Genomic DNA, 22,162 nt, shown 5'->3' on the forward strand with positions numbered 1-22,162 from the left:
TTATTTTTATTTTTTTCCCGAGATGGAGTCTTGCTCTGTTGCCCAGGCTGGAGGGCAGTGGCACAATCTCAGCTCACTGCAACCTCCGCTTCCTAGGTTCAAACGATTCTCCTGCCTCAGCCTCCTGAGTAGCTGGGATTACAGGCGCCCACCACCACGCCCGGCTGATTTTTGTATTTTTAGTAGAGATGGGGTTTCACCATCTTGGCCAGGCTAGTCTTGAACTCCTGACCTCAGATCATCCACCCACCTCGGCCTCCCAAAGTGCTGGGATTACAGGCGTCAGCCACCACACCTGGCCTCAGATAAACATTTTATAAGCATCATTTCAGTGAATTCTCATGCAATCCTTTGGGGCAGGTGTTATTATTACAACTGAGGAACTAACACTAAAGGAAAGAAAGAAACTTGTTTAAGGCCATATACTTAATAATTGGTAGAAGCACGGCATGAATCTGGTTTGTATGATTCCAAAATCCATGTCCTTAGCAAACAAGCTATACTGCCACTCCAGGGCTGCAAATCTGTTTGCCATGCTTTGGTCACTTTTAAGAGAATACTCTAACAGCATACGGAAAATGTATTCAGGGGAGAGAGTGTTTTTATTTTTTTAGCTATAGCGAGTTATAGCTCAAAAAATATATCATTTTATTGAGTTACAGCTCAACAAACATTCAATGTTTGTTGAATTGAATGAATGAATGTTTGTTGAGCTATAACTGCTAATTATTTTTTCATTCAATGATTATTGAGCTATAATAACTACTGGGATGTGTTAAGCTAAAAAAATATCATGTTGAGTAAGACAAAGTCCTTGCCCTCAAAATCCAGTAGGGAGTTCAGAGAAATAGGCAGTGTGCTAAAGCATGCATGAAATGTTTTGAGACCATGTAATACGAACACCTAGTCCTGGAGGGCCAGGGAAAACTTACAGAGGAAAAGACATCCAAGTCGAATTTTGAGGGCAGACTAGATGCTAGTCAAATGAATAGGGTTAGAAGAACTTTTTACAGCATAACTAGGATCCAATTTTCTCACTGGTAAAATGAGTGTTAGAACTGAAAAAAATGTCTTGAAAATCTCTTCTGTATTTGTTTTCTGTTGTTGCCGTAACAAATTACTGCAAACTTATCTTGAATAACACAAATTTATTGTCTTGTAGTTCTGTAAATTGAAAGTCTCACACAGGTTCCACTGCACTAAAATCAGCAAGACTGTTTCTCTCTGGAGTCTCTAAGGGAGAGTCTATTTCCTTGCTTATTTATTTATGTATTCATTTTTATATTTTTGAGATGAAGTCTCACTCTTGTCACCCAGGCTGGAATTCAGTGACGCGATCTCGGCTCACTGTAACCTCTGCCTCCTGGGTTCAAGCAATTCTCCTGTCTCAGCCTCCCGAGTAGCTGAGACTACAGGCGCCTGCCACCATGCCTGGCTAATTTTTGTATTTTTAGTAGAGATGGGGTTTCACCATGTTGGCTACGCTGGTCTCGAACTCCTGACCTCAGGCGATCCGCCTGCCTTGGCTTCCCGAAATGCTGGGATTACAGGCATGAACCACCACACCCAGTTGCCTTGCTTATTTAGATCGATAGGAGAATTGAGTTCCTTGTGATTGTGGGACTGAGATCTCCATGACCTTGATGGCTGTTATCAGAGGGCTGTTCTCAGCTTCTAAAGGCCATCACATTCCTTATCTTCTGGCTCCTTCCCCCATGTTTAAAGCCAGCAACGAGTCGACTTCCTTTCATGCTTTGAATCTTTCCTCCTTTAGCCTTCTCTCTGATCCAGCTGGAAAGATTCTCCACTTTTAAGAACTCATGTGGTTAGGTTGAGCCTGCTTAGATAATCCAAGATGATCTTCATCTCAAGATCCTTAACCATAATCACATCTGCAAAATTTCTTTTGTCACGTAAGTTCACATAGCAATGGGCTCTGAGGGTTAGGGTGTGAACATCTTTGCAGGGGGTGGGGACAGTCATTATTTTGCTTTACCACACTTTCCAATTTTAATATTTTCTTATTTTATGGCAACTAATTTGAACAAAAGTAAGGCAGTGGTAATTTGGAGAGACAGCACCTTGATTACAAATGCTTAGAAACAATTGTTAAAGTAGTCTACACCTATAAGTCAAAGTTCTTTCCCTAGCAGAAGGTCATAATCTGGAGGAGCCCTCAATGCTTCTGCAAACTTGAAGGTCTTTCTTTTTCTAGGAGTAGTCTAGGAGTCTATAAATAGCTGGGAGAAGGTAGGGATGGGGTTCTGGCTAATGAGAGTGGACTCAGTGTTAAATCTTTAGGTTCTTCTGGAAAGATTTACAAAGTGCCGTGTATTCTCTAGTCTGGCCTCTGGTCTCTAAATTACAGAATCAAGCTGATTCTGTTTTCGATTGGTTATCCCTCACCAAAGTTGGGGTAATGGCCTGCAGTACTACTTCCTTCCTATGCCCAGGTCATCTCCAAGGTCAACTGAGTCTAAAGATATGCCTGAGAACTTGGTGGATTCTTCTTACACATCAGATCTGCAACAGCCAGGACCTACCCTCTATATTGAAGTAAGGCACCTGGGGATAGGGAGGAGCTATGCTGTTCAGACTATAATCCCCATTTTGGTGGGGGATAACCACCCTGAAACCATCAGCTTAATTCTCTAACCTGGATGCCAAAGGCCAGATTTCCTAAATTCAAGGAGAAAATGGTATAACTGTGGAGGGAATATTAGAATTTTCAGATCTGGAAATCCTTTCCTTGCTTCATTCACCGAGCTGCTGAAAAATATATTGTATAGAAGGGAAAAATAGATCCAAATACCATTTTAATATAATTATTATAAAATATACTGATTTTTAACTTGTAAAACTACATATTTTGTAATACTGTGAAGTATACCTTATAGCATACCTCACATGCTATGTTTATCTCTAAAATACACATTTAAAAAAAACCAAATTAAGGTTACGAGTATGGATTCTGGAGCCATGCTGCCTGAATTTGAATCCTGGTTTTACTTTTTTTTTCTTTTGAGAGAGAGTTTCGCTCTTGTTGCCTATCAGGCTTGAGTGTAGTGGCGTGATCTCGGCTCACCACGACCTCCACATCCCAGGTTCAAGCGATTCTCCTGCCTCAGCCTCCCGAGTAATTGGGATTACAGGCATGCGCCACCACGCCTGGCTAATTTTGTATTTTTAGTAGAGACGGGGTTTCTCTATTTTGGTCAGGCTGGTCTCAAACTCCTGACTTCAGATGATCTGCCTGCCTCGGCCTCCCAAAGTGCTGGGATTACAGTCGTGAGCCACTGCGCCCAGCCTGAATCCTGGTTTTACTTGTTATATAACTTTAGACTATGTAATCTCCTCTTTTCCCTCATCTCTAAAGTAGGGATAATACCTACTTCTCTGGATTATTTTGAAAAATAACTGATATAATATTTGTAAAGTGCTGAGCACCATGTCTGACATATGAGTTTCTCTACATTCACTTCATCAATGGAGAAAATAATGAAAAAATGACCACTAAGTATGCATTCTCTATAAACTTCAAAGAAGTGGCAAATTAATTCTGCATTACATAAAAAGATATTGCTTAGATATTGAAGCAAACAAAAATATAAACTATCTGAATCTTCATCACTTTCACTTTCAGATGGCACTCTGCTTTTAGGTAGAATTCACAGCTCTCATTTTTTATTTGTTCATATGTAGTAAAACCTTCATGTAATATATTTCAGAGCTTTTTTACTGTGACTTTGCTGGCCCTCTCTCACTTCCAGTTTATTTGACATTTCTTGCTTAACGTTTTTCAACCCATCCCCTTCTAACGTCTAGAGAAATACTGATTTGCTAATTTCTCTGACTGACAAACTTTGATTTGTTCACCAACATGATCTACAATGCTATGATTGTTTCTGAGACCACATTCACAGAGAAGAAGCTGAGGGGGTGAATTTTGTGTGAAATACAGTGGGTAAAACAGAAAGGATTTATAAGATATGAAATAGTGATTTTTATGAGCTGGTGTATCAGCACATATGCTGATTTTTCTTCTTTTCTTTTTTTTCTTTTTGTTTTTTTGAGACAGTGTCTTGCTCTGTTGCCGAGGCTGAGGCTGGAGTGCAGTGGTGCAATCATGGCTCACTGTAGCCTTGACCTCCCTGGCTCAAGCAATCCTCCCGCCTCAGCCTCCTGAGTAGCTGGGACTACAGGCATGTGCCACCATGTCTGAATAATTTCTTTTTTATTTTTTGTAAAGATGGGGTCTCATTATGTTGCCCAGGCTTATGTTAATTTTTATTTAATATTTTTGTCATTGAAGATGAACTTTCTTCCTTCAGAGAACAATTTCTTCTCTCCTGGTCAGACTTTTAGTGAAGAGACCAGCTGGTGTTTGGGACATCAGAATCTACTAACATTCCCAGAAAAGTCATGCTGTGCTTTGATATTATGTACTTTTACTGAAGAAATAAAACTTTATGTGGGAGAAAATCTGTAAAACAGTTTGTATGTAGAGAAAAATTCTCCCACACAATGTGTATTACTTCGTTCTCACGAGGCTTTGAAGAAATACCCGAGACTGGGTAATTTACAAAGAAAAGAGGTTTAATTGTCTCACAGTTATGCATGAATGGGGAGACCTCAGGAAACTTACAGTCATGGTGGAAGGGGAAGAAAGGCACCTTCTTCACAGGGCAGCAGGAAGAAGGGCTGAGCAAAGAGGGAAAAGCCCCTTATAAAAACATCAGATCTTGTGAGAACCCAGTCACTGTCATGACAACAACATGGGGTTAGCCACCCCCATGATTCCATTACCTCCCACTGGGTCCCTCCATGACACATAGGGATTATGGAAACTACAATTCAAGATGAGATTTGGGTGGGGACACAGCCAAACCCTATTTTCCCTCTGCTCTCACAGCACCACAGCATCAACACAGTCCTTCCATGACCAAAGGAGTGGAGCTTTTTTTTTTTTTTTTTTTTTTGAGTCTTGCTCTGTCACCCAGTCTGGAGTGTGCAGTGGTGTGATCTTGGCTCACTGCAACCTCTGCTTTCCAGATTTGAGCAATTCTCCTGCCTCAGCCTCCTGAGTAGCTGAGTAGCTGGGATTACAGGCATGCGTCACCACACCTGGCTTATTTTTGTATTTTTAGTAGAGATGGGGTTTCCCCATATTGGCCAGGCTTGTCTCGAACTCCTGACCTCAGGTGATCCGCCTGCCTTGGCCTCCCAAAGTAGGAGTGGGTTTTTCCCCACACCTAAGCAGCAGACACCAGTTGGGTATCCTCCAATTTCATTCTGACACTATTTCCCTGGAGATAGCATCAGAGCCTACAGGTTGAGGGATCAGTCCCACAAGACCACCTCCTCCTTACACCCAGTCACAACTCCAGGCCTCTGGAACTTCTGACTGACTGGCTTCAAGTTGGGGTTCCCACCTCTTTGGAACTTCAAGGTGGAGCTCCCACCTCTTTGGAATTAATCAATTTCTTTGAGTTTGATTAATTTGCTAGAGTGGCTCACAGAACTCAGGGAAAACACTTAAGTTTGCTGGTTTATTGTAAAGGATATTACAAATGATACAGATGAAGACATGTATACCTTTATAAGGTAAGGTATGTGGGACGGGGCACGCAACTTCCATGCCCTCTGGGGGCATGCCAGCCTTCAGGAACCTCCATGCGTTCAGCTGTCTAGAAAATTCTGAACCCCATCCCCATGGGTTTTTATGGAAACTTCAAGACAAGCATTCCTTTCCCTCAGTGTATAGGGTGGGACCCTCTCTGCAGACAGTCTTAAGATGGGGGTGCAGATAAGAGTTCTGCCTTGGGGCAGGTGAAAAGAGGGAAGAAGGTCAGAGAAATTCTTGTTTTCTGAGGCCTAACATACCCAACGTTATAACAAAAGACTGTAAAAAGGGCTATGGGAGTTGTAAGCTAGGTACCATGGACAAAAACCAACATATATAATAATACCACAGTTTGCTAAGAAGATAAATTATTATTACAACTGGCAAGGTGAGTGATATGTGATACATGAGGGGCATAGATAAATGCTTTTAAGCAGTTAACAAATCACATTTTTTGTGTGTCCTTTATATTAAAAGAACTTTGTTAAATGTTTTTTTAACCCTGTAGAAAAAAAAACCCCACATACCTGTCTTGTCTATTTCTGTAATCAAGATCACATTTATTTCCTCTGAATGTGCCTTATGACATTGTCTCTCTTTGCTTTTGTATCTCAGGATCTATCTGGGGTGAGTGATGATGGGAAGTCAAAAAGACCATTTGTCCTGGGAGTTTCATTCAAAAAGCGTTTTAAATTTAGACTTCATTATTTTCAAATGGAATAGAGACATAAACAATGCTATTCTGTAAACTAGTATTTTTGCGTTTCTTTACTTTTAAAAAATACATTAAGAGCCTCAAAATTGAAAAATCTCTTGACTGGTGAGAAGCACTGCTTTTCTTTTCTTTGAATCAGAATTTTCCTTCCTTGCTTTTATTACCAGCTCTCAAAATCAAATCCATCCTGTATAAGCCATAAAGAAGACTTTAAAAAAAGATACACACACACATATATATAGATAGATACATATATAGATATATATCTATATATAGATACATATACACATATATAGATACATAGATAGATATAGATAGATACATATATACATACATCTATAGAGATAGATACATATATATATACATCTATATAGATAGATACATATATGTATCTATACATATATAGATGCCTTCTGGGGGCACACCAGCCTTCAGGAACCTCCACGTGTTCAGCTATCTGGAAACTTTCTGAACCCAGTCCCCATGGGTTTTTATGGAAACTTCAAGACAAGCATTCCTTCCCTCAGTGTATAGGGTGGGACTCTCTCTGCAGACAGTCTTAAGATGGGGGTGCGGTTAAGAGTTCTGCCTTGGGGCAGGTGAGAAGAGAGAAGAAGGTCAGATACATATATATGTATCTATATAGATGTATGTATATATATGTATTTTTTAAAAGTCTTATGGCTTATAAAGGATGCATTTGATTTTGAGACAAGGTAATAAAAGATATGTGTGTGTGTATATATATATATATATAATTTTTTTTTGATACAAAGCCTTGCTCTATTACCCAGGCTGGAGTGCAGTGGTGCAATCTCAGCTCACTGCAACCTCCGCCTCCTGGGCTCAAGTGATCCTTCTCTCTCAGCCTCCAGAATAGCTGGGACCACAGGTGCATGCCACCACACCCAGCTAATTTTTGTATTTTTTGTAGAGATGGGGTTTTGCCATGTTGGCCAGGCTGGTCTTGAACTCCTGAGCTCAAGTGATCTGCCCACCTTAGCCTCCCAAAAGTGCTGGGATTACAGGTATGAACCACCACACCTGGCCTGATCAGGCCGGGTCTAGTCTTTATACTAGTCTGTAGGCTGCATGTGCACAAGGGCCTTGTCTTATTCTCTCATGTGTTAGATGTCACTTAGAAACTTAACAAAAATTCTTTTTGAATGGAGGACTATGATAACTCCATTTCTGGAGAAGGAGGTTTAAAATAGATTTTATTATTTTCTCTGTCTCTCTGTTTCTTTCTCTGTCTCTATCTCTATTATTTTTTTTCTCTGTCTCTGTCTCTGTTATTTTCTCTCTCTCTCTCGTATGCATAAAACAGTTTTGCAGGATTGGATTAGGTATTCTATACATTTGCAAATATTTTAATTCTTGTAGCCCCTCTAATATAAGCCTAATTTAATGTGAAAGCTCAAAAAACTTTCTGCTTAACTAGAAAATCCTTCCTCTGGACATACTCAGGGCTACTTGCAATGTGATTAGTGACATCCTTCTTTAGTAGCAGAAAAGAAACATTCCCTGGAGCTCTCAGAGGTCATTAAACAGATGTCCAATTATTGTCTAGATGACGTTTGGCAATATCACTACCAGATGGCTTTATTCTGGTTATCTTCCAATTTTTATGTCTCTACCCCTATTTATCTTCATGGGGTTCTTTCTGTAGTTAACAACAACTACGTCTCTAGGAAATCTACATCACAGAACATATTGGTCTTGAGTTGGTTTCCTCAAGACTGTAGTTCTTTCTATATACATATGTAAATGAGACAGGGTCTCACTTCATTGCCCAGGCTGGTGTCAAACTCCTGGGCTCACATAATCCTCCCGCCTCAGTCTCCCAAAATGCTGGGATTACAGGTGTGAGCCACTGCACCTGGCCATGCAAGGCATTTTATAGAAAGTGTTGGAGTGTGTGGGAAATAAAGTAAATGAAAAAAATTTGTACAAGAAAGTAAATGTAGTCATGACACTCCACTTGACTCAACAGTGATGAATATTTACATAATTATAAGAATGAAACTTCTGTGTTTGGCTTTAAATGAGACAGAAAGAGAAGGAGAGAAAGAATTATATTGGGAGGAATAGAAGAAGGGGAAGATGGTGAGTGAAATAATTTACCATATTGGAAAGTTAGTAAATAACTAAAATGTGATGAATTGAGAGATAGTGATACACACATACCATTTAGAGTTTTAAAAGTAATATTAAAGAAATGTTAAAACTGCAAGTAGGACAACAAGGTTGGCAGGCAAGTAGAACTTGGAGCTATTATTTTGTTATTGTGGTAAGCCTTTTAGCTCTGCATAAACCTAAAAAAATTTTGTAAACATAATACTCTGATTAAAAATCAGTATTAATTAAAAAATTAGCCAGGTGTGGTGGTGCATGCCTGTAGTCCCAGCTACTTGGGAGGCTGAAGCAGAAGAATCACTTGAACCTGGGAGGTGGAGGTTGCAGTGAGCCAAGATCATGCTAGCAGTGAGCTGAGATCACGCCACCGCACTCCAGCCTGGGTGACACAGCGAGACTGCATCTCGAACAAACAAACAAAAATTAGTACTAATTAAAACAATCTATTGAGGAAAAGTTCTGTGTATAATTTTTTGTTTTGCTTAGTTTCAAGTCAGTTCTACCTAAAATAGATGGTGGTAGAAATTTAACAATTATCCTTAGAATTTAGATATAAAGATACATTGGATAATTAAAAGTAAAAACTAAAAATACTAGGAAAGTCAATTCACAGTGGTTAAGAGCCACCATACACTTTTCATACCATTTAACAGGTGTATTAGTCTGTTCTTATACTGCTAATAAAGACATTCCCAAGACTGGGTAATTTATAAAGGAAAGAGGTTTAATGGACTCACAGTTCCATATGGCTGGGGAGGCTTCACAAATCATGGCAAATGGCAAAGGAGAAGTAAAGTCACATCTTACATGGTGGCAGGCAAGAGAGCTTGTGTAGGGGAACTCCCATTTATAAAACCATCAGATCTCATGAGACTTATTCACTATCATGAGAACAGCTTTGGAAAGACCTGCCGCCGTGATTCATTTGTCTCCCACCAGGCCCTTCCCATGACCTACAGGAATTATGGGAGCTACAATGCAAGATGAGATTTGGGTGGGGACACAACCAAACCATATCAACAAGATATACTAAATGATCAAAATTCCTATATAACAGATAGCATATTATGACTAGAGAGGATCCTAGAAGTCCTTATATATTTTATCTTTTTTTTTTAAGACATTTTCCAGCTTGTCATGGTGGCTCATATCTGTAATCCCAGCACTTTGGGAGGATGAGGTGGGACAACCACTTGAGCCCTGGGGTTCGAGACAAGCCTGAGTAACACAGTGAGACATCATCTCATAAAAAAAAAAAAAGACAGAAGAAACATCTTATTGCCTTGAAAAAAATGTGAATCATATTTTGTTTTATAGACAGAAATTGATTACATGAAGAATCAAGTGGTTTGTTAAAAATATTGCTGTTTTAAAAAAACTTATGTGATAGAAAGTTACTATTTCATCAGTTAGTTTTGTCAAAGTCAAATAAAAATGTAGAGACAAATCTATACACAAAAGGTTTAATTTGAGAAAATAGAGTTGCAATTTGTGGTATACAAACAGCCTGGTGTGGTTTTTAGTATATCTGAAGAACAAAGAGAAGGTTGAGTGTTTTATTAGAAAGATACATGTTACATATTGTTTTGTAAGGAGCTTACTGGCAGTAGTGAAGTTTCTGGGAGCTGGCAAGCTCTGGTGAATGATGGCAGTAGGAAAAACTAACCTTAGAGTCATGGCAGGTCATTTAGGTAGCTGCTAGGTAAAAATGGTCTTACATTGCACAGGCCATTTCAGCAGCTGAGCTTGCAGGAGAATTCTTGAAGCAGGTGCTATGTACCCTGAGTGCTTTTTCCCCTGGTTCCTCCATTCCGATTCACTTGGGTATGACAAAAATAACTCAATTCATACCACCAGTTTTCAGTTTATTCTATATTATAAAACATTAGGATTGATTTGTTAATATATGAGCTGCTCTTATAAAAGGATCGTATTTTAGTGATCTGATCATTAGGGCTTTCTTTTAATTTCAAGTTGTACTTACCTGGGCTCTTGGATCACGGTGAGTAGCATGCCAACACCAAGGACATAGCTCTTTGGAAAGACTTTAATTTAAAATATTTTCCTTCCTTTTTTGTAGGCTGGATCAGGAAGCTGTTTCTGGTCTAGAAATGAAGTGTTGTCATGTTCACATCCAGCCAGCTTGGGGTCTGAAGGGAAGTGTACAATCTGTGAGAAGACTGTGTGCTACTCTGCAAATTGCAGATAATTACTCTGAACAGAGAAGTCCTTTGAAGTTGCTGCATGAGGTCAGTAGAAAGTGTGTGAAGCACCCACATGAAATGAATCTTTTGTTCATTACTTCTGTGCTCACAGAGGGGTTGACTGCATTGGGTTATTCATCTTCTTTCCCTATGGAAACTGACTGTGGAGTTCTGTGCCAGGCCCAGCATGCATCTTCTTCCCAGGCTGCCAGATTTCACAGAATGTTAAATAAAATCTGCTTTTATTTGCCCATAACTGCTCTTCTGTGGGTTTACTCAGAAATAAGACCTGTTAAAAATGAATTACTTTTTAGAAAACTAGCACAGTTTAAAACCCTTATTGCACTTGGGGCAAACTGAACTTAGTATGCTGTTGTGCAGCAGGCGATTGTTGAAAAATGCTGAAAAATAAAGCAGAGAGCAAGGGCCAGAAGCTCCTCTCAACATGGAAAGGGTGTTGAGAGCAAAGTGGTCCTACAGTTTAGTTTTGCAGACACCCAAACTTGCCCTTCTCTGGAAGTTAAAATGTTCTTAGAGAAATAAATAAATAAAATTCCAAATATGTTACATTGATGGTCTGAAAGAGATGGGAAAAAAGTCTTGGGGAATATTTCATATGAAGGCAATATCTGATCTTCTAAGAAATATCTTCTGAAGAAACTGGTTAAAAAATTAAGACTCCTTTGAGGGATGTAGTCTTGGTTACCTTGCTGCCAGAGCGGCAGACTAAAGATCACTAGCTTGTAGTCAGTCATGTTTGTATGCACCCATTTTCCACTCAATGACAAAGGGATTCAAGCTTAGGTTCTGGGTATCAATTTGCAGATGTGTCTATCTGCTTTTCCTAATTCCTCTAGTTCATTCTGCCCTCTCCCCTTTCCTGTTTTTTTTTTTTTTTTCCTGCAGTTTATTTGCTCTACCTAACACTGACTTTAAACTAGAAAAAGCGTTTTATTGCTTTCAGATTCTTTCAGACATATTCTTCTTGCCTCTGTAATGAAATGAAGCACTTTTCTGATGGCAAGACACATGCCTTTTTTTGACTCAATACCCCAATATTAAATCATTAATGTAAATAATTTTTATATTCATTTTCTGTTACTGCTTAGTACACCTGGCACATGGTAGGGTGTCCCCACATAATTCATTATCCAAAGTGAGACACTTCTGGGAACAAAAAGGTATGCAGTTAGTAGTTATACTAAGACACCAGGTGCAAATTGAAATGTAAGTTCAGTTTATCAATAAACATTTGTGAAATATAATTTATTTCTTTGGTGATATCCTGCCCATTATAATTAACTTTTACCTTTCTAATCTCAGGAATCTTCTTATGGCTGCTTGAATAACTTCTTTCCTTTTTAGAGCCTTTTTGTTTTTTTTCCTGAGATTTTTACTGTTTGTCGAGACAGGCTGTCAGTCTGTAACCAGGTTGATGTACAGTGGTGTAATCATAGCTCACTGCAGCCTTGATCTCCCAGGTTCAAGGGATCCTCCCACCTCAGACTCCTGAGTAGCCGGGACTACTGGTGTGTGCCATCATGCTTGGCTATTTTTTTTAATTATTTTTTTTTTAGTAGGTACGAGGATTTGCTATGTTGCCCAGGCTCGTCTTGAACTCCTGAGCTCAAGTGATCCTTTTGCCTTGGTCTCCCAAAGTGTTGGGATTAGAGGAGTGAGCCACCATGCCTGACCAAGATTGTACTTCCTAAAACCACATTAGATGACTCATGACTTATCACAGGCCTGGAGGCCTAGGAGAGGAGAATGGCTTCATGAGCCAGGCTCAGGGCCCTGCTCCTCTGTGCAGCCTTGGGACATAGCTCCCTGCATCCTGGCCTCTCCAGCTTCAGCCATGGCTCCAAGAGGCCCAGATATAGCTTGTCTGCTGCTTCAGAGAATGCAAGTGATTAGCCTGGCTGGTTTCCTCATGGTATTAAGCTGGCTGATGCACAGAGTACAAGAGTTGAGGCTTGGGAGCCTCTGCCTAGATTTCAGAGGATGTATCTGAAATGTATGGGAAAGCCTGGATGTTTAGGCAGAAGACTGCTGCAGGGGTAGAGCCCTCATGGAGAACCTCTACTAGGGAAGTGCAGAGGGAAAATGTGAGGTTGGTGGCCCCACAGAGTTCTCACTGGGGCACTGCCTCTTGGAGCTGTGAGAAGAGGGCTGAAGGGGTGGCCTGCCCCTCCACACTTGTGGGAGTTTCTCGTCGGGTGGAATGAGAGACTTAAGAAAAGAAAGAGACACAGAGACAAAGTATAGAGAAAGAAAAATGGGCCCAGGGAACCGGTGCTCGGCATACGGAGGACCCACGCCGGCACCAGTCTCTGAGTTCCCTTAGTACTTATTGATCATTATCGGGCGTTTCTCGGAGAGGGGGATGTGGCAGGACAATAGGGTAATAGTGGAGAGAAGGTCAGCAGGAAAACATGTGAACAAATGTCTCTGTATCATAAACAAGGTAAAGAAAAAAGTGCTGTGCTTTTGATGTGCATATACATAAATATCTCAATGCCTTAAAGAGCAGTATTGCTGCCAGCATGTCCCACCTCCAGCCCTAAGGCAGTTTTCCCCTATCTCGGTAGATGGAATATACAATCGGGCTTTACACCGAGACATTCCATTGCCCAGGGATGAGCAGGAGACAGATGCCTTCCTCTTATCTCAACTGCAAAGAGGCCTTCCTTCCTCTTTTACTAATCCTCCTCAGCACAGACCCTTTACGGGTGTCGGGCTGGGGGATGGTCAGGTCTTTCCCTTCTCATGAAGCCATATTTCAGACTATCACATGGGGAGAAACCTTGGACAATACCTGGCTTTCCTAGGCAGAGGTCCTTGTGGCCTTCCGCAGTGTATTGTGTCTCTGGGTACTTGAGATTAGGGAGTGGTGATGACCCTTAACGAGCATGCTGCCTTCAAGCATTTGTTTAACAAAGCACATCCTGCACAGCCCTTAATCCATTTAACCCTGAGTTGGCACAGCACATGTTTCAGGGAGCACAGGGTTGGGGGTAGGGTTACAGATTAATACCATCTCAAGGCAGAAGAATTTTTCTTAGTACAGAACAAAATGGAGTCTCTTATGTCTACTTCTTTCTACACAGACAGAGTAACAGTCTGATCTCTCTTTCTTTTCCCCATAGAGGGCCACCATCCTCCAGACCCCAGAATGGTAGATCCACTGGCAGCTTGCACCATGTGCCTGCAAAAGCTGCAGGCACTCAAAGCTAGACCTTGAGAGCAGCTGCTGGGGCTGAATCCTGCAAAGCCACAGGGCTGGAGCTGCCAAGGCCTTGGGAGCCCACACACTGCGTCACTGTGTCCCAGATTGGAGTCAGAGGAGATTATTTTGGAGCTTTAATTTTTAATGACTGCAGGGCAGTCATTAAATTTTTTTTATATAATTTTTTTACATAAAAGTCCAGCTCCCCCTTTGCCTTCCACCATGATTGTATGTTTCCTGAGGCCTCCCCAGCCATTTGAACTGTGAGTCAATTAAACCTCCTCCTTTCTTTATAAAGTACCGAGTCTCAGGTGGTATCTTTATAGCAGTGTGAAAACAGACTAATACAGAAAATTGGTACCAGGAGTGGAGTACTTCTACACAGATAACCTGGAAATGTGGATGTGACTTTGGAACTGGGTATTGAGCAGAGGTTGGAAGAGTTTGGAGGGCTTAGAAGAAGATAGAAAGATGTGGGAAAGTTTGGAACTTACTAGAGACTTGTTGAATGATTTTGACCAAAATGCTGATAGCAATATGGACAATGAAGTACAGGCTGAGGTGATGTCAGATACATGTGAGGAACTTATTGGGAACTGGAGCAAAGGTCACTCTTGCTATGCTTTAGCAAAGAGAGTGGCAGCGTTTTGCCCCTGTCCTGGAGATCTGTGGAACTTTGAACTTGAGAAAGATGATTTAGGGTATCTGGCAGAAGAAATTTTCCGTTCTTTTCTTTTGTTTTCTTTTTGTGGAGACAGGGTCTTGTTCTGTCACCCAGCCTGGAGTGCAATGGTGCAATCTTGGCTCACTGCAACCTCCACCTCCCGGGTTCAAGCAATTCTTGTGCCTCAGCCTCTCCAGCAGTTGGGACTACAGGTGTGCGCCACCATGCCTGGCTAATTTTTTGTATTTTTAGTAGAGATGGGGTTTCACCATGTTGCCCATGCTGGTCTCGAACTCCTGAGCACAGGCAATCCACCCACCTTGGCCTCCCAAACTACTAGGATCATGGGTGTGAGCCATTGCGCTCAGCCTGGCAGAAGAAATTTCTAAGCGCAAAGCATTCAAGAAGTGACCTGGCTTATTCTGAAAGCATTCAATTATATGCATTCACAAAGAGATGGTATGAAATTGGAACTTATGTTTAAAAGAGAAACAGAGCATAAAGCCTTGGAATATTTGCAGGCTGACCATGTGGTAGAAAAGGAAAACCCATTTTCTGGGGAAGAATTTAAGCTGGCTGCAGAAATTGGCATAAGTAACTGAGGAGCTGAATGTTAATAGCCAAGACAATAAGGAAAACGCCTTCAGGGCATGTCAAAGATCTTCATGGCAGCCCCTCCCATCATAGGCTTGGAGGCCTAGGAGGAAGAAAAAATAGCTCTGTGGGCTGGGCCCACATGGCTCTGTGCAACTTTGGGACTTGGTGCCCTGAATCCCAGCTGCTCCAGCTCTAGCTGTGACTAAAAGGGACCAAGTTACAGCTCAGGCTGTTGCTTCAGAGGGTGCAAGCCCCAACCCTTGGCAACTTTAATGTTGCGTTTGGCTTGCAGTGTGCAGAACACAAGAGTTGAGCTTTGGAAGCCTCCACCTAGATTTCAGAAGATGTGTGAAAATGCCTCGATGGCCAGGCAGAAGTCGGTTGCAGGAGTGGAGTCATCATGAAGAACCTCAATGGAAGGGAAATGTGTGGTTTGAGCCCTCACAGAGAGTCCCCCCGGGGACACTGCTGGAGCTGTGAGAAGAGGGCCACCATCCTCCAGACCCCAGCACTGTAGATCCACTGATAGCTTGTACCATGCACCTGGAAAAGCTGCAGGCACTCAATGCCAGTTTTTGAAAGCAGCCGCAGGGCCTGTACCTTGCCGAGGCACAGGGGTGGAGCTGCCAAAGGCCATGGGAGCCCTACCCTTGCAACAGTGTGCCCTGGATGTGAGACATGGAGTCAAAGCAGATTTTGGAGCTTTAAGATTTAATGACTTCGCAGCTGGGTTTTGAACTTGTATGAGGCCTGTGGCCCCTTTGTTTTGACCAATTTCTCCCATTTGAAATGGGAACATTCACCCAACGCCTGTACCCCCATTTTGTCTTGGAAGTAATTAACTTGCTTTTGATTTTACCAGCCTCTGTAAAGATATTACCTGAGACTAGGTAATTTATAAAGAAAAGAGGTTTAATTGACTCACAGTTCCACATGGCTGAGGAGGCCTCAGGAAATTTACAGTCATGGCAGAAGGTGAAGGAGAAGCAAGGTGCATCTTACATGGCAGCAGGAGAGAGAGAGAGTGAGGAAGTGCCACACTTTTTTTTTTTTTTTTTTTTGAGACAGAGTCTTGCTCTGTCACCCAGGCTGGAGTGCAGTGGTGTGATCTCAGCTCACTGCAACCTCTGCCTCCTGGGTTCAAGCAATTCTCCTGTCTCAGCCTCCCAAGTAGCTGGGATTACAGGTGTCCACCACCACCCCTGGCTAATTTTTGTATTTTTAGTAGAGACCAGGTTTCACCATGTTGGCCAGGCTGATCTTGAACTCCTGACCCATGATCCACCCACCTCGGCCTCCCAAAGTATTGGGATTACAGGTGTGAGCCACTGCGCCCGGCCGGAAGTGCCACACTTTAAAACTGTCAGCTCTCATGAGAACTCACTCACCATCATGAGAATAGCATGGGGAAACCGCCTCCATGATCCAATGACTTCCTACCAGGTCCCTCCATTGACAAGTGGGGATTACAATTTAAGATGAGATTTGGGTGGGGACACAGAGCCAAACCACATCATTCCACCCCTGGACCCTCCCAAATCTCATGCCCTTTTCACATTTCAAAACCAGCAGTCCCCCAAAGTTTTAAATTATTCCAACATTAACTCAAAAGAGTAAGTCCAGGCCAGGTGTGGTGGCTCACACCTGTAATCCCAGCACTTTGGGAGGCCGAGGTGGGTGAATCACCTGAGGTCAGGAATTCAAGGCCAGCCTGGCCAACATGGTGAAACCCAGTCTTTACTAAAAATACAAAAATTAGCCAGGCGTGGTGGTGGGTGCCTGTAATCCCAGCTACTTGGGAGGCTGAGTCAGGAGAATATCTTGAACCCAGGAGGTGGAGGTTGCAGTGAGCCTAGATCGTGCCATTGCACTCCAGCCTGCTTGACAGAGTGAGACTCTGAAAAAAAAAAGAAAGAAAGAAAGAAAGAAAGAAAATAGACTCCCCCAAGAAGTCATCCTATCAAGATATTTCAAATTATACTCCTGATCCTAGATATTGGTTATTAAACCATCAGTCTCCATCTTCAATAGGTTTATAATTTGGGGTGGGAGAAAATAGTTCCCATTTATTGAGGTCATACTCCATGCATCTTACTCCATATATAATTATCACAATGTAGTACACTCTTTTCAAAGCTTGTTTTTTGAAATATGCATATTAGGTCTTTGGGTGTATTATATAATATTATGTGAAAAAACCTTTCCTTGAGCAATTACATTTGAGAAATGCTATGCTAAAGTTAAAGAGGTTTCTTTACTCCAGCAATTCTCCATCTTTAATAAGCAACTGTGCATTATCAATTTCTATGAGAGGGCTATAATAAGCATTTACTGGACCATGGATCTAACTTCCCATCTTCTCCGTAGACACTGTCTCTTTTATCCTGAAACTAAATGACACATTTTCTAAAGAATACACTATGAAAAAATGTAAATTAGCATTATATGTTCCATTTCAAGATGGAAATAAGCTATATTACAAGACAATACTGCAAAATAGGCTGTTTCCTGATTACAACCACATAGTAAGATGACTTTCATTATTTTGCTAACTCCAATAGGGAACATAAAGATAATAAAATGGTTTGTTGCAAATAAATAAACCCAGATTAAGTAACAAGAAATGCTTATCTCATGTACTTACATATACAATAGTCCTCCCTTATATGTGGTTTTGCTTTCCAGTTTCAGTTACTAGTGGCCAATGACAGTCTAAAAATATTAAATAAAAAATTTCAGAAATAATCTGTAAATTTTAAATTGCACATCATATTGAATAGTGTGATGAAATCTCACAGTATCCCACTTTGCCCAACTCTGTCCTGCTTAGGATGTGCATTATTCCTTGTCCACCATCTTCATGCTGTCTGTAATCCTCCCCTTAGTCAGTTAGTAGCCTACTCTGTTATCCCTCTTAGTTTTTAGATCGACTGTCAATGTATCACAGTTCTTACGTTCAAGTAAGCCTTATACTACTTAATAATATCCCCAAAGCACAAGAGTGGTGATGCTGGCATATTGTTAAAACTGCTCTATTTTATTACTAGTTATTGTTGTAAATCTCTTACTGTGCCTGATTTATAAATTAAACTTTATCATAGGTATGCATAGGAAGAAACATATTGTTTTTAGGGTGTCGTGCTATCTGTGGTTTCAGGCATCTATGGAGGGTTTTGTAATGTACCCCTCATGGATAAGGAAAGACTACTCTAACAGATTTTAAAGGATTTTCAGTGATTTTAGAAACAATCCCTAATTATTCTTGCTGAGAACCCACTATCTATTGTAACAGAGAAACAATTTCTACTCTAGTGCTATCTTTATTCTGTTCTGTACTGTATGTCCCATGTGAGTCTCATCCCACATAATATGATCTGTCAGTTTTCTCCTCTAGGGCTTTTATTACAAAGCCAGTCTTTGATTACTCACTTACTCAAAGTGCAGTCTTTTAAGTATCAACTTCTTATTAACAGTCTATTTTTCAAGTCCAACAGAGCTTAAAGGAAAAAAAGTCTTTTATTTTATTTATTTTTAAATGCAAGCATTCCCATATTTATTTCAGACCTTGATAATTAATACACTGAGATCACAAATCTTATTTTAAGATAGAATACTTTTCTATGAAGGATATCAGCTCAATTATTTATTTTATTTATCTTTTTTCATTTTTTAAAAACAGCATCTGTTTTCTTAAGTTTTCATGATCCAGATAAAAAGCTCTTCTTTCCACGCATCTCATCATGCAATTGACCTACTTGTACACAGAATCAGAAGATTAATGTTGAACTTATTTCCATAACAGTGTAAGGTCCAACTACAAGCCACACAAAATAAATGTTAGTTGAGTAACATTATAAAAGTGGTAGTGATAGTTCTAAAATGCCTGTACAAAGGAAACTTGTCCACAGCTAAAGCCAAAAAAAACCCCAAAAAAACAAAAACCCAAGAAACAAAACAAACAAATGGAAAAAAAAAAGAAAAAAATAAGGAAACCACTTGAAATGAAACAGTCTTATAAATTTCTTATGTAAACACCCTTATTTTCTGTAGTTTGTACCCAGAATCTAGTTTCTGGTGGAATCTTGAAGTACATAGTAAATATTAATTAACAAATCCATACTACACTTCCTGGGTAATTAAAAAGAAAAGTGTGTAGGGATCCAGGCAGTTCATGGAATTTAAAGATGAGTACTTGGACTATAGGATCAGTCATAGCAATGACGTGTTGTGAAGAAAAGTATCAAAAAAAGTATTTTATAAAAAGATATGCTTTATCCTAATATATTCAGCAAACCACTGGCTGCCTTTTTATTTGCATTAACATATAGAAACGACTTCCTGATGTAACAGTTCTCTTCTACATGTTGTGTTAGTGAGGGGCTTATTTTAAATTTTCTTTGGAAAATTCTGCTTGGATTCTGAATTGAAAATAGACAATCCTGTCTCTATGTAGAAATCACAGATGTCATGAGATTAAAAATCCTTTGCTAGCTGTAGTTCCTTAGTATTATGGTTAAATCCCTTCAGTCTCTAGATTAATATAACAGACTTGTAATAAAATTTTCAGATGTGCTGTGCCTGTGCAAGGAGTAGAAGAAACAAAGACAAATAAAGACATTTTGGGCCCAATTCTGTGTAGCTACGGGTATATATTGTCTCTGTTTTTCAAATAGGGTTATTAGATCATTTAGGAAACAAAAATAGCAAATCTTCAGAGGGAAGGCACCGAGAGTGGATGGAGGGAAAACACAGAAGCCGAATTGAAGGGGAAGGAAACCAGGAATCTTGCATGAGGCTACCACACACCAGGACTTGTTCCTGGTCTCCAGCAACTCTACGGCAACAGATGAGTGGAACTGGCAAGAAGCAACCTGCTGTCCCCTCGAGCCTCTGGAATCCTGGCAGGAGGTGACCCCTTGACCACCATGGACACTTGAGTTGGCAGGGAGAGCTGCTTAGAGAAGTGATGGGGCAGCAGGCCAGCTAATATGAAGCCCAGAGGGTTTGGTGCGGGAGCGTCAGTAGTGGAGCACGGCCAGGACACCCATCCCCCTAGGCTTGACTTGCTCCCATAGGAGACTTCAGTCCTAGGAGAACTGTTGGACCTGAACTCTGCAGAGCAGTCTTGTCCATCAGATGGGGTTGGTCGGACCTGAGCAGCCCTTGATCTGCTGGCCTCTTCTGCAGCTCCAGCCTGGTTACACCTGCTTGCAGGTAATCCAGAGCACCCTGGGGGCCTGCATCATAGCTTCTGTGCTGGTGGACTGTGCCTGACTGGCAGAGAGCTCAGCGGGGTGGCCCCCACAGCCACAAGCCAGCCTGCCTGCTCTCTCCCTGCATTGCAGCTTCCCCCCAGCCCATGACAATGCCCCACATCTTTGCTGGCAGTATGTGCATAGGTGGGTTTTGCTTTCCTTGCCCTGCCAATGCACCTGTGTGCATGCACCCTGCCCTGCCACTGCTGCAGCAGAAGTGCAGTCCTCTCCCCAACCCCCTATTGACTGCCATTGCAGTCAGAGCCTTGGTGGGCACTGAGGGCCCACCCCAACCCCACCAACACCCTGCCCATGCATCAACACTGCCAGCCCCAGCCCCACCAGCACCCCACCCATGCATCAACACTGCCAAGGAGCAAAACTAGGCATGGAGAACAGCGGACCCTCCCCAACATGGAACAACCGCCCCTGCATGCGATGCACAGAAAAAGCACACACCAGCACCCCGCCCCTGTGCTAACACCACCACCAGTGTGACTGCACACACAGTTGCCAGCAGGGCCTTCCTGCCCCAATGAGCAGGGCAAATGAAGAGGGATCCCACTGTCATTATACTACGAACACTTTGGCTGACACCACCCATCAAAGTGTAGTGACCACAGATCCAGGAGCACCTAGGGTCCCCCCACAACACAGTGGATTTCTAACCTAGAGGAGCCAGAGAACAAAGTCTGGTCCAATACAAGTTCCCCAGAGGTAGAACAGGAGTTGGGAGCTGAGCATGGGTCCCCTAAAATCTTCCAGATATGAAGGCAGTTGGCTGAATCCACCTTATACCACAATCAAACTCTAAAGGTCATCAAATGGAACCTTGATGGTCAGCAACCTCAAAGACTGAAGGTAGATAAGCCCATAAAGATGAGAAACAACCACCTCAAGGACTCTGACAACACAAAAGGCCAGAATGCCTTCTTTCCTCCAAATGACCACACCATCTCTCCAGCAAGGGTTCTGAACTGGGCTAAGATGGCTAAAATGACAGAAATCGAATTCAGAATATGGACAGGAACAAAGATAATTGAGATGCAGCAGTATGTTGAAACCCAATACAAGGAAGCTAGGAATCACAATAAAACAATGCAGGAGGTGACAGACAAAATAGCCAGTATTTAAAAGAATATAACCAAACTGATGGAGCTGAAAAAACACACTACAAGAATTTCATAATGCAATCACAAGTATTAATAGCAGAACAGACCAAGCAGAGGAAAGAATCTCAGAGCTTGAAAACTGGCTTTCTGAAATAAGACAGTCAGACAAAAATAGAGAATAAAGAATGTAAAGGAACAAGCAAAACTTCTAAAAAATATGAGATTATGTAAACTGACTAAATCTATGACTCATTGTTATCCCTGAAAGAGATGAGGAGAGTATAAGCAACTTGGAAAACACATATCAGGATATCATCCAAAAGAACTTCCCCAGCCTAGCTAGGGAGGCCAACATTCAAATTAAGGAAATGCAGAGAACCCCAGTACAACGCTCCCCAGGAAGATCATCCCCAAGACACATAATCGTCAGATTCTCCAAGGTCAAAATGAAAGAAAAAATGTTAAAGGCAGCTAGGGAGAAGGGTCAGGTAAAAAGGGAAGCCCATCAGACTTCCCTTTGGACTTTTCAGCAGAAATCCTACAAGTCAGAAGAGCTTGAGGGCCAATATTTAACATTCTTAAAGAAAGAAATTTCAGGCCGGGCATGGTGGCTCACGCCTGTAATCCTAG

General features: G+C 41.4%; 1 long non-coding RNA gene across 1 annotated transcript, besides 2 other annotated features; it reads left to right on the top strand.

The window, feature by feature from the left end:
- Positions 1-1,503: 1,503 nt before the first annotated feature.
- LOC105378793 (uncharacterized) lies at positions 1,504-14,020 on the top strand. The gene is made up of 3 exons (XR_947499.2): positions 1,504-1,913; positions 10,555-10,723; positions 13,825-14,020. It is a non-coding gene; the product is annotated as an uncharacterized LOC105378793 (long non-coding RNA).
- Positions 11,317-11,517: a silencer, noted in NCBI's record as "peak283 fragment used in MPRA reporter construct". NCBI's record gives its function as "represses an SCP1 promoter by STARR-seq MPRAs in K562 erythroleukemia cells {active_cell/tissue: K562}" and the evidence as "EXISTENCE:reporter gene assay evidence [ECO:0000049][PMID:32103011]".
- Positions 12,233-13,039: an enhancer, noted in NCBI's record as "NANOG-H3K27ac hESC enhancer chr1:70925492-70926298 (GRCh37/hg19 assembly coordinates)". NCBI's record gives its function as "activates a minimal SCP1, AML or CMV promoter by ChIP-STARR-seq in naive H9 embryonic stem cells {active_cell/tissue: H9 hESC(naive)}" and the evidence as "EXISTENCE:reporter gene assay evidence [ECO:0000049][PMID:30033119]".
- Positions 14,021-22,162: the final 8,142 nt, after the last annotated feature.

The sequence above is a fragment of the Homo sapiens genome, chromosome 1, assembly GCF_000001405.40.
Source record: "Homo sapiens chromosome 1, GRCh38.p14 Primary Assembly".
Taxonomy (NCBI): Eukaryota; Metazoa; Chordata; class Mammalia; order Primates; family Hominidae; genus Homo; species Homo sapiens.